This window comes from Homo sapiens, chromosome 10 (genome assembly GCF_000001405.40).
Source record: "Homo sapiens chromosome 10, GRCh38.p14 Primary Assembly".
Lineage (NCBI taxonomy): Eukaryota > Metazoa > Chordata > Mammalia > Primates > Hominidae > Homo > Homo sapiens.
In genome coordinates this window covers 82,140,650-82,160,835 of record NC_000010.11, presented here as the reverse complement: position 1 = coordinate 82,160,835, position 20,186 = coordinate 82,140,650, and the positions used below count along the sequence as shown (strand labels likewise).

Genomic DNA, 20,186 nt, shown 5'->3' with positions numbered 1-20,186 from the left:
ATTCATGTGCCAGTACTTAGATCACATGCTGAACTTGTTTCCCTACTACCACATTTACTGAGCAAGAACTAACTGAATGTTGGTCTTTATCCTTAAAATATTCTCTTCAATATTCAATGTTTTAGAGAAATCCTGCATTCAAAGTCAAATACTTTGCTATTCCCTGAGTTATTCAAATTGATAGGGTTCTTGTCTCTCTTACAGTCCTATTTCTTCTTCTTGCTTGGGTTAAAAGCAAACAGAGAACTATGCCTTAAAAATTCCATTGCACCACTGCACTCTAGCCTGGGCAACAGAGCAAGACTCTGTCTCAAAAACAAAACAAAACAAAACAAAAAAAAAGAAATTCCTTACAAAATCCATTATTATGATTCACTCTGTTTAGCGATGTTTTCATCTGTATAGCCATGACAAAGCATTCAGTATCCTATGACTTTTCCCAGGAACCTTCAGAATTTAAAATCTGTTTGCTGTTTATACTTTTGCATGATTTCCTGCTTAAAAAACTTTTGCCCCAAAACTGAGTTTACCTCTTCTGCCAAGCCATTAGCAGACTGGTGAAGAAGAGTGTTGCTAGGGGACAGGACTTCAGAATAAGTGCATTATCTTCTATCAGAAAACCACTGAAAATAAGATATTTAGATGATTCTATTGTGTTTAGGTAGGTAAAATGGATTGCTTTTTATTATTTTTTTGAAAAGGGCTAATTAAATTCACACTTGTCAACCATAGTGGTAATACAGAGCTTAAATTCTTACAGGCTATGTGAGCTCAGTAAATATCCACTAAAACAAACAAACAAACAATAAACAACTCTTATAGGATCCTTGAGGCTCAGCTCAAGATGTTTCTTTATTCATGAAGGCTTTCCACCACCTCTCAGTGAAAAGAAATTTGAATTTTTTGCTCCATTCATTCCAGGACTCTTTCCAGGTGAACATCTGACAGCATCCACACATAGCTTTATATTTAAGATAATTATGCATCTTTTCCTTTTCAAGTTCCTTTAGAAGAGTGACTTCTTCTTATTTGTATTTTTAACTCCCTCTGTATAGAACCCAGGACATTTACCTTCCTTGATTCTGCTGCATCTCACAAAGTCTATCTCAACAAAGTTGACTGAGCACCTACTATGTTCCAGGGATGAAGCCTGATGCTATGGGACTAAAAAACTAACGAAGGCATGGTTTCTATTTCTTAGATTCTCTCTACTTAATAAGAGAAGCAGAAAAATAAACATGCTTAAAATATTCTGTATAAAGAACTATGACTGGAGTGAACCCAGGGTACTATGAGAGAACAGAGGGCGTTAGCCACCCAGGTAACCCAAAGGAAGATGTTGGAGAAGGAAACTGATTCCGGAATGAAATCCTAAAGGATGAGTCCAATAGATGGAACAACAGAAAAGGAACATGACAGACAGGGAAAGCAACATTTTTAGAGACTTGAAAACCAGTAATATATTCAGGAAACTGCAAGCAGTTAGAGATATTTGGAGTGCTGAGAGAGTGAAGGAAGATAGTGTTGGAGTGGTCAGGAGGTTGGATGATGAATGGCTTTAAATGCCAGGCTAATTTCCTGAGTGCAATAGAGAACCATTGCATATGAAACTTAGTTACTTGCATATACATCATTGAACCTAGCTTCCAAAGCTATGCAATCAGCAATGTTACTTTCAGGTGATGCACCTAATCTGTAACTTGCAGCCTTCATGGAAGTTTAGATTAAATCAAATCATTATTTTCATAGTTGGTCTTCTATTTTAATTTTTTGTTTGTCTTAAAAGGAATTTGAAGCCTACTAAAAAAAATTGAAACCTATCTACAGCTAAAGACTATCATTTTCTTCTTGTTTCATGCTCTTCATGCAGAAGTTTGAGCATTTAAATAATATTCTTGTCATGTATTTTTCACACCTTCATCTGAATGGAAAGCTTGAGTGAGTAAACTAATCCCCATGAAAGATTTCATTTCCAGTGTGAAAATGATCAGGTTTAAGAAGGAAAAAAGGCTCTTATTTTAATCAAGGACAGTGGTTAAGAATCGTACAATTCCCATAAAAATAATATGCCACTTCTCTCAGGATTTCAAGAGTAAGCATTTGTGGCATTTTACTTACATGTGAAGAAAAAGTACATAAGCCCAAAGGAATGATCTCAAAACAGTGTAAGAGGAGAGTTTATTTGACAATAAATTTGCAAACTCCTCAACACAACTGGCATCAGCTATAGCCTTATTAAACCCAACAGTCAGATCATTCAGAGAGAAATATACATCCAATTTACCTGCGCAGACACACTTCCATGAAAAGACTTGAGATTTTAACATCATAAACACTTCTCTTAAAGGGCCTCCTATTTTAGACTTTCAAATACAACACATACGGAGACACAGACATAGACATACACACAGACATGCTCACAGGAGCACATACACCGTGAGACACCATAGACCAACAGACATGTTCACAGGAGACTAAAAAAGCCAAAATATTCAAACATTTAGATGACAATTAAATTTAGAGCCATTTTGGAGAAAATATTCACTTGTTTAACTGAAAATTATTTGTAACAATGAATAAATGACATGTTAATTCAGTTTCCTTCATAAAAGGACTTTGATGTTGACTAACATTTTATTCAATGTAGTCAACAACTTGGCCCCATTTTTCACTCATTTCTGCATATTTTCCTTATCAAGGTTCAGTTACCACTCTAGAAAAACAAAATATCCCCTTTCTATTAAATGGAGATCATGTTTTCTAAACTACCTTGATAGGAGTGTTTTTTGTAATAATCCTAAAGGAACACAAAGGTATGTGAGTGACCTAGACAATTTCACAGGGCTCCCGATGCTAATCACGTTCCTTGATGCTCACAGGAACATTCAGTATCATGCACATTACTTTCTCCTTTGCCTAAAACATCACTTGATAATGTTTGGGTTGTATTCTTAAAACACTTGAAACATACTACAAGCTGGAAGATCTATATTCCATCTTGTCTGTTTCCTAAAAGATAGACTCTTGATCAAATTTCCCACCTGGAAAGCAAATTTCTATGCCTCCTTCTCCCTTAACATTTTAACTTACAATAACACCACAAACATTCTGCCAATGGTATTCATGTCTGTCATTCTTCTGCCTATTCCCTGCCTCCCTTCTGTTTGGATTCTCCCCATGCTTCCCAGCTAATATTCCATTTCTCCCTTACAGACTTTCCTGACCTCCCTGAATTGACACTGTATAGGTATGTTGAATTGATCCTGCAATATTTTAAATGATTTCAGGATTAGTTTATGAATAGCTGTATTTTGCAAAATAGATGTCCATAGACACAAACCTCTAACCTGCTATCAGTTTGACCTTGACATAGGAGGAGATACTTATAAGAAAAATAAAATCTCAGGTAATGATTATCTTCTTTAACAAGACAGCAACCGATTCCTTTGGCTCATTTTATATTACAGATTGAATCCTTCTGGAATATGACTTGTAGCTATTAAATATCTTTTTATACTTTTCAATGACCATTTGGTTAAATGCAAAAGCAATATACTTTCTTTAAGCACAAGACAGCCATTAGTCAGCTCACTGTTGAGTTACATTTGGCCTTAAATTTTGACTTGCAATATTTACCATTATTACTGGATGATAAATTGCAATAAGAAAATATACTTCATTTCCCTGTAAACTCAGTCTATTTTAAATGGATTTAACAATGCTTAATAGTACATTCAAAGATACCCAAAGCCAATGTTCCCTGAAGCAAATCACAAGAATGTTGAACAACTTCATAATGACCATTTAATCCCCATCATTACTACAGACTGGGATTCCTGCCGATGCAATGACAATGTAGTTTAGAGAAAATTAAGCAATAAATTAAAAATTATAAGCTCCATTGTTGCCATGGGAACCCCATGTATGAACTCCTATGAAGTTTTAAATAGTTTCTTCTTATGGGATATTAATGACGATTGACACTTTCAACATAAACTTATTTGTATGGGAGCTTCATGCTGATAATCATACCTATATTATTAATAGCTATTAAAATGTAAAAAAACCTATAAAAGTAACAGGTACTGTAAAACAAGCTAACTTTATCTTAAACTCCATGGATCTTCCTTCAAAGCACTCTGGCAGGTAGACACCATTGGAGCTAAAATCTGATGAAGGATAAATTCCACAATTTTCCAATTCTGGAAATTCACTAGAAATTTCTTTTTTTTACAGACATCCTTGTGAAAATGTTTACCCATGTATATTTATGTTAATAAGACACTTCACAAAATACCATGGCACTAATAATAGGAGGTGATATTGACATTATGCTGGCTAACAGTTTCAGAGTACCTGTTCTTGCCAGGAACTTCATAAAGATGATCTCACAAAAGGCTCACAATACCTGAGAAGACAAATTTTAATCTATAGATTTTGGATGAGGAAGTTGAGGCCTGGGGGATCATGTTACATGGACATACCTTCCAGTTGTTAAGGAGCAAAGCTGAGACTGAAATTCAGGTATATCTCATTCCAAAGACAGACAGAACACAATGAGTGTTTGTGAAAAAAAAAATAAATGAAAATGTTATAATCAATCTATGTAAGTGTAGATTGATATACTTTTTGATATCGCTTTTGCTTTCTGAGAAATCAGAAAGTGAAATTTTGCCCTAAAATATGATGTATGTCCAATTTAATAAGGAGGACAATGTTAGCACAAGTACCCTAGTCACTGTTCTCTACAGCTTCACATAAAAATGGCCAAAACATATGAACAGAGGAACATCTCTGCCTCAACACTGAGCTATATCAGTTCCCCAACATTTCCTTATTTAAAATTATTTTTAAATTGAACAATTACAATTCAGAAAATAATCGATATGTTTTCTAGTGAGAAAGGTGCATATAAATGTAGACCAGGAAGCAGCTAAAGTTTAGAGGATTCTGCTACCTTTGTTTTCTGTACATGTCCATACTACCTGTTATGTATTGAGCTTTTATCATTTTTATAATCACATGAAATATAAATATTGAAAATTAAATGAATATGCTTACACATCTACTAAATAAAATAACATGGTCACCAGTCAATATTATTTTAATTAAATAAATGGCTGGATAATCTCACAGCCTTCTTCAGTCAGCAAAATACAGAATGCTGCTCTACTGAAGTCTCTTTGCTTTTGATTATATGTGCTTCACTCTACCATCATAAATATCAAATTAGCAGGTACATGTTGGCATTAAGCCATACCCTTTTTATTACGATATGTTTGTAATTAGCATTTTTACACAGCCATATGAGAACTAATGAAGCCTGGGGCCCAATGGATAGTGCTTATGGTGTTTCCTTATGTCTCTTTCATAATTACAGTAATCCATGTCACAGTAGAGAGAAGGTTACTGATATCCCATTAATACAATAACCACCTTCTCTAACAGCAGTATTAGTGATCTGCAATATATTATACTTATTTTTAAAAGGTAAATGAACAAAGGTAGGCATCCTGATTAAATCAACACTATCATGAGGACTGTCATTAATGTAATTTGACCTTTTCTGACCCTTAAGTTTCCATTTTGTAACTCTACATTGAAAGCAATTTAAAGAGCACAGGTGAAAACGTGCTCTGATTGGGAAACTAGCTAATGGCCATTAATCAGAAAACATTTATATCTGTGTGTTTTTATAAAATCGTTTTGTATCAGAGTCCTCCATGCTGTCTAACCTGTTTCACTAAATTTATCTTACAAAGTAGGTGAAAGATTAAAGAGCAGTCAATAAATTTATAGACAATAAAAAGCATTGAAATAAAAAAGAGAAGTGAAATTGTCTCCGTTTGCTGATGATCTTATATAGAAGAAACCCTAAAGTGTTCACCTAAAGTTGTTAGAATGGATAAAAGAATTCAATAAAGTTGTAGGTTACAAAATCAACATACAAAAATCAGTACATTTCCTATAACACTAACAATAAACTATACAAACAAGAAATTAAGAAAGCAATCCAATTTACAATAGTATTTCAAAAAGAAAACTTATGAATAAATTTAATTGAGGAAGTGAAAACCAAAAAAAATTGATAAAATAAATTAAAGGCAACATGTACAAACAGAAAGAAATCCCGTGCTTATGGATTAGAAGAATTAATATCATTTACATGTCCAAACTACCCAAAGCAATCTACAGATTCAATGCAATCTCTATCAAAATTCCAATGGCATTTTTCACAGAAATAGACAAAACAATTCTAAAATTTATATGAAACAAAAAAAAAACCCCAAATAGCCAAAGCAATCTTGAGCAAAAAAAGCAAAACAGCATTACACTCCTGATTTCAAAATATATTACAAAGCTATAATAGCACACACATCATGGTACTGGCATAAAAAGAGAAATATAATCCAATGGAACAGAACAGAGAGCCCTGAAATAAACCCACACATTTATAGTCAATTGATTTTTGACAAAGGTGCCAAGAATATACAATGGGGAAAGCACAGTCTCTTCAATAAATGGTGCTGACAAAACTGGATATCCATATGCAGAGGAATGAAATTGTACCCTTGTCTTATACCATACACAAAAATCAACTCAAAGTGAATTAAAGACTTAAATATAAGGCCTGAAATTTAAAATGACTAGAAGAAAATGTAGAGAAAAAGCTTCACAACATTGGTGTGGGCAACGATTTCTTGGATAGGACCCCAAAAGCATAGGCAACAAAAGCAAAAACAGACAAATGGGATTGCACCAAACTAAAAACTTTTTGCATAGCAAAGAAAACAATTAAGAACGAAGTGAGTGAAGAGACACCCTCCTGATTGGGAGAAAATATAGGCAAACCATACATCTGATAAGGGGCTAATATCCATCATATATAAGGAACTCAAACAACTGAATGTTAAAAAAAAGAAATAACCAAATCAAAAAGTGAATAAAGATCCTGAATAGATATTTATTAAAAGAAGACATACAAATGGCCAACAGATATATGAAAAAAAAGTTCACCATCTCTAATTGTCAGGGAAATACAAATTAAAACCAACATGAGATATTACCTCATACCTGTAGGATAGCTAATATCAAAAGTACGAAAGATAATAAGTGATGGCAAGGAGGCAGAGAAAAGGGAACCCTTGTACACTGTTGATAGAAATGTAAATTAGTGTAGCCACTATGGAAAACAGTGTAGTGGTTCCCCCGCCCCAAATTACACAGAATTATCATATGATCCAGCAATCCATCTACGGAGTATATGCCCAAAGGAATTAAAATAAGTAAGTCAAAGAGATACCTGCACTCATAATTCATTTCAGCATTATACACATTAGCCAAGGTATAAAAGCAATGTAATTGCCCACCAAATGATCAAAGGATAAAGAAAACACACACACACACACACACACACACACACAATGGAATACTATATAGCCTTACACAAAAAAGAAATTCTGTCATTTGTGACAACATGGATGAAACTGAAAGACATTATGTTAAGTAAAATAAACTAAGTACAGAGACAAATACTGTATGATTTCACTTACATGTAGAATCTAAAAAAGTCAAACTCATAGAAGCAGAGAGTACAGTGGTGTTTATCAGAGGTTGATAGGGAGAATGGGGAAAGGTGCAATGTTGACCAAAAGGTAAAAAGTTTCAGCTAAACAGTAGGAATAAGTTGTAACATAGCATGGTGACCATAGCTGATAAAAATATATTACATAGCTAAAATTGCTAAAAGAGTAGATTTTAAAAGTTCTCATCCCCAAAATAATTATAAGTAGATAAGGTGATAAATGTTAACTAAATTGGTTTAATCTTTCTACAATGTGTGTGTGCGCGTGTGTGTATCAAAGTATCACATTGTACCCCATTAATACATGCAATTATTATTTGTTAATTAAGTAATAAAAGAAAAAGGAGAAAGAAGAAAGAAAAGGAAGAAAAAGAAAGAAAAGAAAAAGAAAGAAAAGAAAGAAAGAAAGAAAAAGAGAAAGAGAAAGAAAAAGAGAGAGAGAGGGGAGGGTGGGGGAAGAAGAAGGAGAAGGAGAAGAAGGAAGGCAGGAAGGAAGCTGGCCAACCACAGCAATAGAGATTTCAAATATATGGCATTTTCCATATATGGCATTTTCTTGTTTTCACACTGTAAAATTGTGAGATGGGAATTATTATCTATTTGACAATGAGGGAGCTGAGGTCCAAATATAGTGAGTGGTACAAATCTGAGGTTCCGCAACTGGCAAAACTAGATCTTCAGTCCCAGTCTCTTGATATCACAGAGCTACGTCCCCGATAACACACATTTCAAAAAAAAAGAAATAGTTCAGAACTGAGAACACGAGCCCTGAACTCTGCCCCAGATCTGTCATCAATTTGCTGGGTGACTTTTGGCCAAACGTACTTAACTTCTCTGGTCCTCGAGATACAAAGGCTAAGCAAATTGTGTGCCAAACTATTTGTCAGATGTAGCATATGGATAGGTCAATTAAATTTCACATTAAATTAGTTAGCAACAAAGCAGATCCTAACTTACAGAGAAGCTGTTTCCAGTATGTCAAAACTATATTCTACAATAGGATCGCCAAACTGAGAGACATGAGCCAAATCTTATTTGCTGTCCCTTTTTGTAAATACGGTTTAACTGGAACAGACCCACACTCACTCATTTACATATGTCTGTGGCTGCTTTCACGGTACAATGGCAGAGTTAAGGAGTTAAGACAGAGACTTTGACTCACAAAGCCTAAAATATTTAGTTTCTTGCCTTTTACAGAAAAAGTTTGCCAACACCTGATTTCCAACTTAGCTGAGTATTCTCCCTGTCCCAGGCACTTATGCTAACGTATTTTATATTCTATCTATTTAATCCTCTTAATGACCTAAAAAAACATGTACTATTACAATTCCCCTTATACATATGTGAAAGAGTGAGGTCAATAGAAATTCACTTATTTGTTCAAACTCCCTCGACAAGTGAGTAAGGATTGGGATCCAAGTCTTCTGAGCAGAGCCTATGCTGAAGCACTACGCTACCATGCTTTTTTTATGGGACAGTGATCATCACAGGTCAATAAAGACCACACAGAACTCATTCAGGTGCTTTGGGGAAGTAAGACAATAAGGGAAAAAACAAGGCTCAGTTTGCCTTCTTCATTCATCAAGACCAGAGAGAATAAAGCTTTATTAGATAAAGACCACAAATAATTTAAATGCTACTTACAAATTACAGACGACTAAGTGAGATGGGACATCCAACAAGATGACATCAAGGCAGAAACAGGATGAATAATGGAGACAAGAGAAGGACAGACAGAGGAAACCAGAAAAGGAGCAGAGCAGAGAGGTTCCGATTCACAGAAAGAGTCCTGATCCTCATCTCCCATCTGATTCTTTTTCATCCTCGTGTGCTCTGCTAGGAAAATTTCTGTACATAATAAGATTTCAATGATTAGAAAACAGGCATCTTTTCTTTCATGTACTGAAAAATTAAAAGTAAAACAACATTTCCAATCATTCCACCTGAAGACCATCCCAAATTAATTCTTAGTCATGCATTATTTCAGTTCAAACTCCTAGTCACTCCTGTGTGCCTGGCCCTGACACTGGTACTGCAGAAGGCTGAGCAAGACCCAGTCTGTGTGAGTCCAGCTTCCTCACCTCTATCCTCAGCCGTTCCTCTGTTCCTTTATATCCCTCTCTGGCTTCGCCCCTTTGCTAAGCTGAGTTTCTGTATTTGCTTTCTGAGCACTTCCTGCTTTGGACCCTTAGCATACATTTTTGCCAGATTTTGCACAAGGAGATTGAAAATCCTATCCAGGCTTTCTGTACATGACTGCTTTGTCATTTTTCTTTTTTCCTAACAAGGCTCAAGTTTTGTCAAGATTTCCTTTTCTAAAATAGAACTACTTTACAGCACAAGTAGTTTTGTATTTTTCTTTTACCTATCCATATCATTATTTTGATGTAAACAATGTTTAAAAGGACACAGAAAATGTCCTAGGCTTAGAAAAAGTCTCGGTTGTGTGTAATCAAAGAGTAGCTCTAAAAGACTGGAAATTGTGACAGGCATAGTATTGGTCATCAGCAGAAGCAGATGAAAGACGGATATTTTACTGCTTGATGAAGTCACTGGAATGTCCAGGCGCCCTCTGCTCTGGAGTTTGTGGTGTCCGTTCTTGCAGTTTACAAGAGTCAACCTCTAGCAGCCCCTGGGCTTTGTTTGTTGGTTTGTTTATCTGTTTTAGACTGAGAGTTTTTTGCTTTGTTTTTGACTTTTTTTTTTTTTTTTTTTTTTTTGTGTGTGCTCTTTTTGCTTTGTTAATCAGCAAGGTTTTGAAAATCAGGAGATGTCAATTTAAACAAACAAACCAATGAAAAGTAGTCAAGACTGGAGGTGGGGATTGGGCGGAGTTGGCGGGGGGATGCTCTTCAGCAATGAGAGACTGTGCCAAGCTGGTGTAGCCACCAAAGGGGTGGGCTGGGTAGAAGCTGTCTCCTATCAGCTGGGCAGGAGCGCCCCCACCAGGTACACTGACATGTTTGCAACACCTGCCAGCTCCTGGGCACTTACCGGTCTTCAACACCTGCAAATGGGTGATATGTAAAATATGTGCAGAGAGCTGGCAGTGGCCTAGCCTCTGATCCATCAAATCAGACACCTTCTGAAGGGTCCCGGAGGCTCCTGGAGGTGGCTCCTGTTAATCCTTTAGTTGCTGGACAGTAGGGTGGTCCAGGGGTACCAGGGCTGGAATAGATTGATGGGAACAGCAGGGAGTCCAGATGGGTGCACTCCCCCCTGAAAATCAGCCCTGCCTATAAACCACAGCGGAGTTCCATCTCGTCGGGATTCCTGGCACAGCTGGCCCAGGGTGGAGATTTCCTCATTTAAGGACTGTAGTTAAAGGTCGGCTTATTCTATTCTATTCTAGTCTAGATCCACCCCAAGAAAACTGAATACAAGGTAAAATTAATGAGTGAGTCAGAACTGGGCTGTGGACAAGGGCTTTCTCATATCTGCACCAAGACAGTGTGTGAAACATGTCATAAAAACACTGTGGAAATATGCAGTCCATTTATTAGTCTGACATTCTACTGGGAGGCTTTAGAAAAAAAAAAAAAACAGAGCTTTCTAAATTCCCAGCATCCACTACAAGCCTGTTAATATCTTATTCAGAAAGTATTAGGCTCTGTTCCCATGCCACACATTTCTATGGAGGAACTTTATGAGAAAACAAAGACAAAAGTCTGGTTAGGTTTCAAAAATATTTGCTTCATTTTAATTGATTTTTCTACATCCAAGAAACGTGAAAAGCTCCGATTACAAGTACATAAAAACTGCTCACAGGCAATAAAACACATGAAAAAATGTCCAAAATCAACATCTGGAAATGTTGCAAAGCAATTAAATTTTAAATAATGGCAAAAACAAGAGTGAGGGCATCCTAGCTAATCAATTATATTAACTTTTTAATTCTTATTTATGGCATGACTTTGTCAATATAATCAGTTACTGGGTAGCTCCCTAATTAGGAATTTATAATGTATTAAGTGTTATTTTTATAACTGGATTCATGTAATAGAAACCCAAACAACTGGGGATAATAACTTGATAGTCTGCCACTTTCAGGTTCAAGCTGCATTTTAATTATATTTTAAGACCTCAAACTATCATTCATTGGGGTCAAATCTAGGCAACTGAATTATTTTTTATAATTCATATTTTATTAGGTAGGCTTGATGCTTAAAAAAAAAACAAAAACAAAAACAAAAACAAAAAAACAGGAATGTGAATTGTTTGGGTGAGGTCTGCATTCCTCAGTTGATTCCGGGTAGACAGTCTCTGCTGTCTTCCCTATCTGACTCATCTCACCCCCACCTGTGGTGGTTCACTCATTTATATTGCCAGTTTGGCTCCCTGAAATTCAGTGAGTGATAGGCAAGCAGGACAGGCAAGCAAGAAGTGTGGATGGTGAGATGGTGGAGAAGCTGAAGTCTAAAAAGGAAAGTCATAGAAATTGGGGTTGTTCAGCCAGGAGAAAAAAAGGCATCTTTGGGGATTGTAAGGGTTTCTTTGGATGAAGAGAAGACATTTCCTAGGTCAGTGATTCCCAAGGTGAGAATCAGTATCATCAATACGACCCAGGAACATGTTAAAAATGCAGTTTCAGGCCTCTCCCTAAACCCTGCCAAATCAGAGATTCCACAGCCAGCCCCAGGAATCTGTATTTTATACTCCAGGTGATTTTGATGCACACGTATGGAGAACCACTGTCCTAAATGCAAAGAAAACAACCTGGACAAATAGGTAGGAAAAAAAAATAAGACAAGATATTTAAGCTTACGGCAAAAAAGCCATTTGGTCCAAACCTTTAGAGATCAAAGATTAAATGGTAGGCAGAAAGTAAGTTCCTCACTCTGTGGTTGAGAGTATCAACCATGGGTTAGAAAGAACTAAAATATGAGTGATATTTTATTATTATTTGCTTGTTTGTTTTAGAAATGGGGTCTTGCTATGTTGCCCAGGCTGGTCTTGAACTCCTGGGCTCAAGCAGTCCTCCCACCTCGGCCTCCCAAAGTGCTGGGATTGCAAGTGTGAGCCACCCCCCCGCAATCAGTGATATTTTAAACTGGATTGACTCAAAGAAGTTTTTGATTAGAATGTTCAACAATTCTAGGAATCTAAGTTTTCAAAGTTTGACTTCTATCAGAGGAGAAAATTTGATCACAACACAGCACTGTATATGTCTTAGAACGGTTAGCCATAAAAGCTATAAGGAAATGAATAAAAATGAACACCCTGGAAAAATATCTGCCAGTGCTGCTCACAGCTTGTGAATTCCAAAGCCTCATGAAACTTCTTTTAAAACGCTTTTCCCATTCTTGAAATATCTTGTCGAAGAGCCCAGCAACAATCATTAATATAGGTAAAGCCTATTTGGGTAAAAGAGAGAGAAAACTGGGACTGTAACATTGAGTGATTCTGAAGGTTGAACTAATGAAGCCTGCAACCATCATCTTACAGAGTCATTTGGAAGGAATCAGAGCATTCACAGAAATAAATTAGTAAAGGCTCTAAGCAGAAGTTGAAAATTTTGCATATGCATGATTACTGATAAATACCATGAATTAAGAAGTGGTCATCCCTACTCAAAAGGTCTGGGGCGCTTTACAAAGGGACACACTGAGGCTGGCTAACGCAGGCACATTGGGCAGCTCAGGCTGGGCAGGGTCCTCCATGGCTCATAAGCTTTAATAAGAAGGAAGTAGAGATTGCCATCAGCATAATACTTTTGGTTTTAGTGTATATTCATGTTAAAAGTTAGCTGAGTTGTTATTCTCATTAAAATAATGGAAATGAGTATTCTCAACAAATCTATTTTTGTATTTTAAAGATGCTGAACTAAGGACAACCAGGTAAATAGACACCTATGGACATTTAGGTTCCCTTGTTTACCATTTGTTCAGAGGCATATCCAAACCTAAGCCAGATCCCAGGGATCACAGGGAAAATCAAATGTGAGATCAAATCCAAGCTGCACCACTTATAGCTGTGGTTCCAGACAAATCACAGATTCTGCATCTATAAAACAGGAACAATAATAATACCTATCTCACATGGTTGATGTGAGAAAATGAGAGAATGGTCAGTATCTAATAGATGTTAGTGATTTGTAAGTGACTCTTGGTATCTGCTTACTCCAATTTGACCCAATGGAAATAGTGATGACCCCCAACCTGCAAACTGGATCTGGTCAGTTCCTGAAGAACTCTGACAAAGTCTGGAAATTCCTCAGGAGATAGACAATCAGGCCTGGCATCCACCTGGGTGAAAATCCAGGTACTAGAACTCCCACCGAGCTGTAGCTGTTATTCTGTTCTTTCCTTTTATAGCTGGCTGGACCCAGACAGTCTACTCACTTTTGTCAGGTCCTGCTGCCAGACCTCACACTCCATCAGGGAAGCCTCCCCTCTCTTGGTCAACCCTCCCTGTACCACACCCCAGGGCTCTGTGATGGAGACAAAAAGAAATAGTTTTTGCAAGCAGCCCTGGGGCTACCCATCTGTCAGATCATAACAAGCTTAGGCCAGACAGGTAATGGGTTACTCTCCTTTCTCCACTTCCCACCTCCTTCCATACCCCAACGACCAAAATTAAAGTATCTACTGTATGTCTGCTTGCCTTAGAAAAGCATATGGTCAATATTATTATTGGACCACACTCTGCATCTCTCCACATCAGGGTGCACGCTGTTGGGGGAAGTAATATGGCAAATGACTTTTCCATAGAGCTTTAGGAAGAAAACATGCCTTTACGGTTTGTTACCCAGATTGTACACAAAGCCTAAATTTCAACAGTCCACACTTCTTGAATGACTGAGCCCTGAGAATCTCCTGTGTGATGCTCACTGGCTTGCTTACTAGAGACGATAAATCAGAATTCAGGAGCTGAGGCGAATAACACAGAGATCACTTGCAATATATTCCAAGGATAAAATCCCAGACAACCCAAACGACATTTGGAGTAAGACAAATACTAAAATATTGAAATGTGCAATTCTCTATAAACAATCTAAGTTTAGCTGTATTTCAGTAGGATCTGAAAATATGCAGGCTCTATTCTCTTTTACAATCTCTGTCCCAACATTCTCTTTGATAGAAACAAAAGCAGGCTTTAAATATTTGCATTGGATGGTTAATACTGAAAAAAGTACTTTTTCTGAATCAGATGCTGTCATAAACAGCTTGATACATGCCTTATGTCAAGATGTGAGGTGTTTAACTCACTCACAAAATATTTTCTGTCAGCCACTCCCAGCAAATATGATTTTATCACAATGTTCACCTCAACAACTAGGCATCAGCTAGTCATATGCAAGTTCTGTATGGTTCACTGACCTTCTAGGCAACCTAATTCTTTACCCTGGTTACTACCTACTTATCTATTGCAATGGCCTGTGGAGAGCGATGACCACTAATGAATATGGGAAAAAAAAAACTGCCTCTGGATATATAACCAGAAAAGCAATGTTTTGGGATTGTTGCAAGTTTGCCATAGATATCTTCATTTTAACCACACAATACTTACTATCCAACGTGAACAGTACTGAACATGCCAAATTATTTCAGCTACAGTTGGTTATTGTACCAGAGCAGTATTAACGAAGCAATTAACACACAGCGTACATCAACAATTGATTTCTTTCAAGATGAAAGCAAACTGACCATCAAAGAAAAAAGTTCCCATGTGATAAGAGATTAACATATCAATAAGAAAATCACTGGTGGTTTTAATATGATGTTGAGGCCATCACACAAATACCTATGTCTCCTTGTCAGGTACATTATACATTTGCTTTCCATAAAAATCATGTGAGAACACATGAGCTTTGATATTCCCATTTTACAGCCAAGTATGTTGAAGATTCTTGGGCTCAAAGCAAAAGTCAAATATGTTATAACTAAATGCTGGGACTTACTGCTAGTTGATCTTTACCAACTTGGACATCAAATAGTAGGGTAATTATTTGAATTTTCACACATTTATGAAAGAAAATAGGGTCTTCCATTTACAGTCAGCAGAAATGGCATTTCATTTTAGCAATTCCTTGTTGACTGAGCTCTGGGGAAATACACCATACCGAGTTCTAGTGCATGCACACAGCCAGCCATACCAAAGAGAAAGGCTTAGCTATGGCAATGGGTTATGACACCAGTGCCCACCACTGTGCAAGCAATGCAAACAATGCAGACAGCTGCATCCCCTTTAAAGAGATACATGTATATCCCTTCAGGAGCTATTGGGTGGCTGCCCCATGTGTACAGGGAAGCAGTTTTAAAAGAAAAAGTGGGATGGGAAAGATGGAAATGTTATTTTCATAAAAGAAACAAAGGGCAATTCTCAAAAGACAACAAGGAGAATGAGACTAGCATTTATCATAAGCCAGCTTTGTCTTAGAGCATTACAACTGATCTTCAGTTCATTCCTTCCAACAAACCATTAGATGCTTCAGTATCCCCTTTTTATACAGGAGGAAACAGAAGTTCAGGAGTAGCTGTTTTGCTTGAAGTCACACAGATTGTTGGTGGTGGAATGAAGAGTCACACAATGAATCCCAAGTCAAAGTTTGTTTTCCAATTCCCTGCTACAAAACATTGTGCATCTGTTGGGGAAGGCTGAGCACTGATCTCCCAGATCTCTTTTCACATAAACACTGACAGAGTTGACTTGTTTCTCTGGAATTTTATTACACGTCTTCTTTTTAGTCTTTAGCCCATGAGACTACTCTCTTTTAACTAAAGGTTACCCAAGAATAGCTGCTAATTGCCACAAATATTGAGGACATTCTTCACCAAAGGGGAGGCCATGAATGGAAGATGGCCAGGTGTCCTGGGTGGTGTTGCCTATGATAATACACAGGTCAGGACTCCTGGGACGTGCGAGCACAAGAGAGAGCAGGAGCAGGTGTTTTCCTGTCCCAAGGGACCAATTCCTATTAGAGCTGCTTCAAAGATCACTTAATATAAGATAGATGTGGTCCCAGGGAGAAACATGATGTGGAACAGATGAATGCTTGTTTCACATACCTTAAATCAACCACATAGTAGTTGACAAGATAATTAAATAGAAGCCTCACGTGAATAAGAGCACAGAAGTCATAAGAGTCAAATTTTATGAAGCCAGAGAATATTAAATAGTAAAGGGAGAAAGCAGTGAATATTTACTGAATACCAAGAATGCTTCCAAGTAAATGCCCTTTCTTTTTTTTCTTTTTTTTTTCTTTTCTTTTTTTTTTTTTTAAGACAAAGTCTCACTCTGATGCCCAGGCTGGAATGCAGTAGCACAATCACAGCTCACTGCAGCCTTGACCTCCCAGGCTCCAGCGATTCTCCTACCTCAGACTCTTGAGTAACTGGGACTACGGGTGTGCACCACCATGCCCTGCTAATTTTTGTACTTTTTATAGAAACAGGATTTTGCCATGTTGCCCAGGCCAATCTCGAATTCTTGGGCTGAAACAATCTGCCTGCCTGAGACTCTCAAAGTGCTGGGATAACAGGCGTAAGCCACTGCGCCCAGCCACATATCCACACATGCTCACTCATTTAACACTTATAAGGTAAACATAATTTATCACATTTATACAGACAATAAACTAAGGGTGGTAAATGAAGGCCCCAGGACTACCTAACTCCAGATTCTATATCTTGCTTCTAAATCACATTGATTTCAATGGGCAAGAGATGATCAACTGCTAATATAAACTGATGCAACTGTTTAGAACAAATGTAACAGTAGAATCAACTTTTAAACAAGAAATACAGGCAAACCTAGTCCACAATCTTTCAATACAGGCACCCCCTTGCTTAACTATACCAACCACTGAACTGAACTGCACAGTATGTAATTGCAGTAACTGTCTGAAAAGCAGCACACCTAATCATGCTCAATAAGGCTAATAGTTTTGGCCTGACTTGAGGCATTCAAAACATGCACATTAGTGGTATACTGAATTCTGAGTGACTGCCCTGTGTCATCTTATTATCCTCAACTTATGTGCATTTAGTCTCCGCCCCCTGCCTCCTGAACTCCTTGCCCTAGGCTTTGATGCCAGAAACTGTCCTTGGCCTTTCAATCTGTGCCATCATTTCAGCATCAGTCTGCATTCTTGAACTGGAACCTAGCACTAAGTTCATATCATTCATCACTTTTCTGTTTGGGGAGCCTCTTGGTCTTTGTGTTATTAAAAAAGAAAATCTTGGCTGGGCACAGTGGCTCAGGTCTGTAATCCCAGCACTTTCAGAGGCCAAGGCAGGAGGATCGCTTGAGCCCAGGAGTTCCAGATCAGCCTGGGAAATATAGTGAGACTCTGTCTCTACCAGAAACCAAAAAAAAAAAAAAAAAAACTTAGCCAGGTGTGGTGGCACACACCCATAGTCTCAGCTACTTGGGAGGCTGAGGTGGGAGAAGGTTGAGGCTGCAGTGAGCCATGATTGCACCACTGCATTCCAGCCTGGAGATAGATAGAGTCTTGCTCTGTCTCAAAAAAAAAAAAAAAAAAAGAGCGAGAGAGAGAGAGAGGACTCTCACATCTTATTGCTGACTCTAGAACCTCTTATACTAGGACATCCCCCAGCTCTTCCATGAGAGATACATTACGTTGTCATAAAATTTTCTATCGTAACTGTCTTCTTCCTTACAGTTTATAATGCTTTGCTATGTTTCCTGAAGTCAGCTGAGCTCAGCATAATACATGCCCAATGAGACCCTGCTTCTCGATACCCCACTCTAAGCTTAGAAACGTGTAAACTGATAAGTGAAAAGGAAACAGCAACCAGAAGCACGTGTTCCCACTGTTCCTACTGAACACCCAGCCCTTATCCCCTCTCTGGGTTTCACAACCACATTTTGACCCCAGGATCCCTCAGGACTACTTCTGCCTCCCTTGGGAGGCCAGATACTGTCCAGGTTGACTATTTGCTATTTCAACCACTCCTTCTTGCTGTTTGTTTGTTGGTTTGTTTTCCCACAGAGTGTCAGATGTTAGAGAACAGGTTGAGTACTGCTACATCTCAAAGCATCAATTAATGCAATAGTCATCAGCATTTGCAACTGCTCCATTCCAGGAATACAAAGCTTTGGTATAAATAGGTTAATCCTGCAGTCAAAATCTTTTGTGTATTCCTCAACAAGATGTTCTTGGATGAATTAGTAAGAGCTACCAGGAAAGCTTGAAAAAATGAATATTTGTTGGCCTCAATCTGTAACAATTGATTCAGAGTGTGTATTCATGGGGTCTGACAGGGTGCTTTTAAAATATGCTCTTGAAGCTTTTTATAAAGCATCATAAAATGTGAGAACCTTTGGCTGGGTGACTAAATGCAAATAAAGCAGCAGCAATTGGAAAACTTCACGTAGTATGCACCTCTGGAAGAGGAGGTAAAGGACAGGTGAAATGCGTTAGTATAGCAATAGCACCCACTGTACTGGCAACTTAGGAGTTCACACATACTGAACAGTAGCACATCTTAAGAATGTAAATGCTTATCAAAAAAGTTACTTACCTAATTCTACTTTATTTTAGCAGTAGTTATTTGCAATAAAATTGACTAGAAAGATTCAGCATTTTATGATGGTTTGGCAGAATAATACAACTTTTTAAAACCTAGAATCACTGTGATTTTTTTTTTATTTTAAGAGAAATGCAGGGTGCTGATACTACAATGCTGCTTCACAGAAGTGAAAAGTTCTATAATAGTCCATCAATTCACCATCACTGAATCAAAAAGTAAGCCTGGGCCTTGTGCTGTGAGGTTCCAAGGGGAAAGACATGATCAGCAGGTTTTTGCCAAGTAATGCTTTCTTTCTGTAAAACTCAAGTCCATAGGCAGCAGGTACATAAGGGCCAGAATCTCTAGCACTTTGGCTGACTTTCAGTCTGCAGGTCTGGGGGATGAAAGAGCCTCTTCAACCCAGCAGGGAAGGTCGACCCTAATGCCTGCCAAGTGTTTAGGTCCAGTGAGTTATCTAAAAAGCACATTTGCAAAAGGAAAAATTTTGAGAAATTACTTTCCTGAATCATCAAAATAATGGAGAGTAGGTATGTGAATTATAAACACAGATTGGATTATGTACACACATAACCCTATGATAGAAATACAGTAATGTCTACCTATATGAAGCTCAATCCTTTTTCATGCTAGTAAATACCACTTTTCGGGAAGATTGTTTTCTCTCCTTTCTTGTAAAAGAAGAAACATCCTTCAACTGGTTCCCCATATGTACTCACCATACCTATACATGTATATACACACACATAAACATATATATGAATATATGTATGTGCATATATACATATATATGAATTTAAGAAATTGTAGAATTTATTTGCATTCATGTACACCCAAAGAAAATCAAGCTAGGTAAGGCTAACACTATCCAGTGTTTCATATTTTTAGTTTGTTTTAAAATCGCCCTAAGAGACATTAGCAGCACAAAATGATGCCCATTTGATGGAAGTGTGAAACTTCGTGCCAAGACACAGATTAACATTGTTTTATTTCTTTCTCTTTTCTTTTACTTTTTATTTTTATTTTTTTGAGACGGGGTCTCCTTCCGTTGCCCAGGCTGGAGTGAAATAGTAATCAGAGTTCACTGCAGTCTTCAACTCCTGGGCTCA

At 37.5% G+C, this 20,186-nt stretch overlaps 1 protein-coding gene across 24 annotated transcripts in view; it reads right to left on the bottom strand.

Annotated features, from left to right (window-relative positions):
- The window catches only part of NRG3 (neuregulin 3), a 1,111,986-nt gene that overhangs the window by 826,344 nt on the left and 265,456 nt on the right, over positions 1-20,186 (bottom strand). The window contains exon 2 of one of the 24 annotated variants that reach the window (NR_163251.1): positions 9,230-9,433. The exons of the other annotated variants lie outside the window; for them this stretch is intronic. The gene's annotated coding sequence lies outside the window, so the exon portion shown is untranslated. The remainder of the gene's footprint in view (positions 1-9,229; positions 9,434-20,186) is intronic. 24 annotated transcript variants of the gene reach the window in all.